This window comes from Homo sapiens, chromosome 3, assembly GCF_000001405.40.
Source record: "Homo sapiens chromosome 3, GRCh38.p14 Primary Assembly".
Taxonomy (NCBI): Eukaryota; Metazoa; Chordata; class Mammalia; order Primates; family Hominidae; genus Homo; species Homo sapiens.
In genome coordinates this window covers 53,839,310-53,844,693 of record NC_000003.12, presented here as the reverse complement: position 1 = coordinate 53,844,693, position 5,384 = coordinate 53,839,310, and the positions used below count along the sequence as shown (strand labels likewise).

General features: G+C 47.6%; 1 protein-coding gene across 1 annotated transcript in view; it reads left to right on the top strand.

Moving 5' to 3' along the window:
• Positions 1-5,384, top strand: part of CHDH (choline dehydrogenase) — a 34,085-nt gene that overhangs the window by 1,726 nt on the left and 26,975 nt on the right. The window contains exon 2 of the mRNA NM_018397.5: positions 3,695-3,765. The gene's annotated coding sequence lies outside the window, so the exon portion shown is untranslated. The remainder of the gene's footprint in view (positions 1-3,694; positions 3,766-5,384) is intronic.

Below are 5,384 nucleotides of genomic sequence, written 5' to 3'. Positions count from 1 at the left end.
CTGTGGGCCAGGCTCTGGGCTGTGCTGGCTTTTCAGTTGTGTGCCAGGGCAGGCCCTGCTGTGAGCTTGGTGTTGTTCGGCACACAGGCTTTGAGACAACCAGGGTGCGGAGGTTAGGCCTGGAGACAGGGTTCATGAGTCAGACTTTCTCAGGGGGCAGTGGAGAGGAGAGGAGGATAGAGCCCTGGGGAGGAGAGCTTGCCTGAGGAGGTGGGGAGGTCTAAGGGGCTGCAGCAGGAAAGCCCAGTAGTGAGGGAGGAGCTCATGGGGTCAGATGGGGCAGAGAGACCAAGGGCACTGAGGCTGGTTGGTGGCAGTCACAGGAAGCCTTGGCAAAAGGATAGGGGAGGGGGTTTTGTAAAAAGAGAAGGGCTGAGGTTCTTTCTCCCCCCAGGGGAAGAAGTGTCAGGTGAGGGTGGTCTGGAGGTGGCTGAGCTGTAAGAAGGAGGAGTACTCAGGCAGGGGCTGCCAGGCAGAGACCCAAGACCCAGGCCAAGTGGCTTTCCTGCTGTTCTGGGTTCAGAATGACACTGCCCTGGCCCCCTGGGGCTTAGGGATGGGGTGATACCTGGTTCAGTTTCGTAGTTGGGGCTGTGGAGTGGAGGAGAGGGTGTGAAGGGCCCTGTAGCCACAACTGGAGGTTGAGGTGGGCAAACAGGTGTGTCTGCCTGTCCCCTCGGGGGTTTTCCCCCCTAGCTCAGAAGGCCATGCCTCAAGTGGCCCTGCATGAGAGGTCCCAGGTGGCCTGCCGGAAGGCACACAATTTATTTGGCTGCCTAAGCCTGATGACTTTGTGGCTTTTTGAACTGGAGGCTCTGGCAAGTCACTGCTCTTCTCAGAGCAGTTTCCTTTTCTGTAAAATGGGGTGGTGATAGGGGCGATGAAGTGATTTGAGTCTATGAGAGAAGCGACCTTTGGACATTTTCTGACCTTCTCCCTTCAGTCATAAATTCTGCTAGGTCTGGGTTTCTGAAAGAGCTACCAGCCAGTGTGCCTTCCTGTCCGGGGGGGCTTTGTAGGGGGTGCTCATTAAATGCTTGAATGGATGAATAAATTAACACCTACCTTCATCCAAGGCCAGTGCCTGAGCCTGCCCACCCAGGGGAGCTGGTTTGAACTTCCTCCTCTTTCTTCACAAGCAGAGCAAAGGTCAGGGCCTCTGCCAGAGCCTGGAAGATCACTGGGTCAAGTACCTATGGCCCTGACCCAGACCCTAGGGTCTGCACAGACTCTGTGCAGCCACAGCGCGGTGAGATGCCTGGCTTCCAGACCACCTGGTTCTGCGGCTCATTCACCATCTGTTGGCCTTGAGTGAGGCTCTTAGTCTTTTGGAACCTGTTTCTCCATCTGTAACATGGGGCTGACATCAGTTCTGCCTCCCCAGCAGGGCTGTTAGGAAACGCAGAAGAAACAGCAAAACAGCAGATAGGAAAGCAAGTTGAAGGATTTAAGAGTGCTGTGTAAATTTAGGGGCAGGAGAGGCAGAACCAAAAAAAAAAAAAAAAGGTGGGGGGGGAAATTCCCTAGGACCCAAGAGTCACGGTAATCCCCAGATTCTGTCATTGTTATTCCGACCTTTGCTTCTTTGCCTGATCCATCCCTGGGAGAACAAGGCCATCAGGGTTGTTGACAAGTCCTGCGGGTCCAGCCTCCACCCACACAGGTGGAATTTTCCAGTTCGTTCTTTTGCAAATATTAATCAAGGCCCTGGCTGGTCAACAGTGGATTCATTGTCTCGTGAAGAGTGAGCCGTTTCTGGCACATACTGGCTGTCTCCCAGGGCCCCTGGTGGTGAGCCGGAGCTGGGAGAGGAACTGTTGGGAGCACTCCTGGCCTCGGTGCTCCCTCAACCCCATGTTCTGCTCCAGCTGGTTAAGCTTGGCAGGGTCAATTTTAATGCCTGCTTTGAGGGAAAGACCCTGAAGCCACACTGAGGGCTTGCACCCCACTGTTCCCAGCAGGGCTACAAAACACATTTTCTCTGCTCTAGTAGGAGGGGCTGGCCCAGGAAAGCCCGCAGACTCAGGCTAGGTGTTAACTCAGCGTTAATCCCACTCCTCCTGGTTCCTAGGAGAAACCCCTTGAGGTCACATACATGTGTTCTGTTCATGGCTGTGGTCCCTGTGCCTTGTCTCCTGGGTACTTGCATTGATTTTTACATTGTTGTTATCACACTGGGGTCTCAAAGAAAGCCTCGGATGCAGAGGAGACAGGTACTGTTGTCGTTCTCTCAAAGCTCCATCTGTAAACAGGGGTGATGAAGTTAGCCTCATAGGGCTGCAGGGAGGATCACCCTGTCACCCTACGTTGGGCCGTATGTTGGGCACATGCAACAGGATCGGTGGTATATTTTTTGATCCATGATACTTGAATTTATTTGTTATTAATAATATATGGGTCGTAGATGTAGCATCACATTCCACACTTTATGGAGGAAGAAACAAGATGAGTGAGGCTATGTAAGAAGAGGGAGGATGAAACTCAGGCCAGCTGTGAACTTGATAAAATCACTATGTGGTTTGGTTTTAGCTTTGCGCTTTTCTTTTTTTCTTTTTTCTTTTTTTTTTTTGAGACAGAGTGTTGTCCTGTTGCCAAGGCTGGAGTGCAGTGGTGCAATCCGCTCACTGGGCTCAAGCAACCCTCTGAAGTAGCTGGGACTACAGGTGCACACCACCATGCCTGACTAATTTTTTCTTTCTTTTTTTATTGTTTAGAAATGGGGTCTTGCTATGTTACTGAGGCTGATATTGAACTTCTGGCCTCAAGCAATCCTCCTGCCTTGGCCTCCCAAAGTGCTGGGATTACAGGCGTGAGCCACTGCGCCCAGCCTGTGAGTTTATTTTATAACTTTATATTTGTGATTTGTGTGTGTGTGTGTATCATAGTTAGAACAGCGATACCATTTTCAGGAGCACACTAGAAACCTAGGGCCATGGGTGCAGGTTGATGTCTTACACTAGTCCCAGCTCCTGATTAATTTCAGTACTTTAGTGATAGAGTGATTTCCAGTTGATACAAAGAAGCAGTCAGTTTTTCAAACACTCACCTTGCAATCTTAGGACCCTCTGCGGTTAAACCCACCCAGAAGTCTGAAGAGGAAACAGCAGTGGGCATGTGTGTGAAAATTGGCTGGCTAACCTTGGCTGGCCAAGGTGCTTTGACCAGCAGGGGCACCCAGCACACAACCTGGACCTTGCAGTGAGCTGTGAAGCTGCCACTGCACTCCAGCCTGGGTGACAGAGGTGTCTGCTGGAAGTGGCTCTGCTTGTACTGGTGTGGAAGTGTGCCAATGAGCGCAGAAAATCAAACAGGCTTTGCAGCGCCTGTGATGTGTTTATAGGAAGTACTGGAGTCGGCGCAGCAGACAGTGGGAAGGGAAGATTTGTCCTGGCATCTGTGGCCAACCTCCTAAGCTGGTGGATTTGGGGTCTGCAGGGGTTCCATGTCTGGTCCATAACAGTGCTTCTCAAGCTCTCCATGGTGAAAGACTAGATGACTGTTTTTAAAATTTTAATCTTTCATGGGCCAATTTTTAAAATATGATGAAAATTGTTATAATAAAATGGAAGATATATAAAAAAGATAAGCCCACTATCTGCTTATTAGACTCAACAGACATAGGTTGCTGTGTCAAATGATAAAACTGTAAAAGTTTCTACCCTCTGACTTTTGATTCTGTACTTATCTCTCTCAGACAATCACAAAGAGTGTGTAGGCCAGCCCCGGTCACAGAGTGCACCGTATCCTGTCACTTCTGGATGTGAGGTGGGTATTTTTTAACTGAGATTTCAAAAAGATGGGTTAAAAGTTTACTTGAAAAAGGAAGCTGGCAATGAGCATTTGCAGAACACCCCAAACTTCTGGGGAATCGTTGGAAATCCCTCGCTGTCGGCCAGGCCCTGTGCCACAGAGATGTTCCCACCTTTCTGCTTTCCTTCACTCCTCTGGTGGGATCTGAGATTTCAAACAAACAACAACTACAAAAATCCTTTTTATCATGGAAGATTTGAAACCTGTATAAAATTAGCCAGAAGAGATGATGGAGATGGGAATTTTGTGTTCTCTTCACATAACTTTGTTAGCCTCACCTCGTGGGGGTCCTGTTTTGTATGTCCCCCTAATCCCTAGGGTGATTGTAAGCCAAATCCTAGATAACTTTTTTTTTTTGAGACAAGGTCTTTCTCTGTCATCCAGGCTGGAGTACAGTGGCAAGATCATAGCTCACGTAACCTTGAACTCCTGGGCTCAAGCAATCCTCCCACCTCAGCCTTCTAAGGAGCTGGGACTACAGGTGTCTGCTACCATGTCCAGCTAATAAAAAAATTTTTTTGTAGACATGGGGTTTCACAATGTTTCCCAAGCTGGTCTTGAACTCCTGGCCTCAAGCAGTCCTCCCACCTCCACCTCTGCCTCCCAAGGTGCTGAGATTACAGGTGTGAGCCACCCTTAAATATTTACCGTTAGAAATAGTTGAATTATTCTCTTCTAGTTATTTTGAAATGTATAACAGGTTGTTAACTACAGTCACCATACTGACCTGTCAAATACTAGATCTCATTTCTTCTATCTAACTGTATATTAGATAATTCTTCTATCTAACTGTCTATCTTTAACCCTCCATCCTCCCTTCCCTTCCTGAACTCTGATAACTACCCATCTACTCCCTATCTTCCTGAGATCCACTTTTTTAGCCTCCGCACCATGAGTGAGAATGTGATTTTTGACTTTCTGTGCTTGGCTTATTTCACTTAACATAACGACCTCCATTTCCATCAGTGTTGCTGCAAATGACAGGAACTCATTCTTTGTGATGGTTGAATAGTACTCCATTGTGTATATGGATCACATTTTTAAAAAATCTGTTTGTCCATTAATGGGTACTTAGGTTGATTCCATGTCTTGGCTATTGGGAATAGTGCTGCAGTAAACATGAATGTGCAGATATCTCTTTGATATATTGACTTCCTTTCTTCTATATACCCAGCCCAGTAGTGGGATTGTTGGATTATATGATATTTCTATTTTTAGTGTTTTGAGGCATCTCCATATTGTTTTCCACAGTGGCTGTACTAATTTGCATTCCCACAAACAATGTACAAAGGTTCCTGAAAGGGTGAGTTTAAACAACATAACTGCAGAATCATAGTCATGTCTGACAAATAATGATATCTTGACATCCTCACATACGCACTCAGTGTTCAGATGAGCAGGGTCCAGTGAAGAGCAGCACATTCTCATGGTTGGATCTTGTTCCTCTCACAGCCTGTAGGCTTCCCTTCCTCTCTCTCATCTCTCTCTCATTTATCCATTCTATACTTGGATTTATTGTTGAAGAACTGTGTGGGGTTTCCCTGCACTTGGATTCTGCTGATGATGGACCTTTG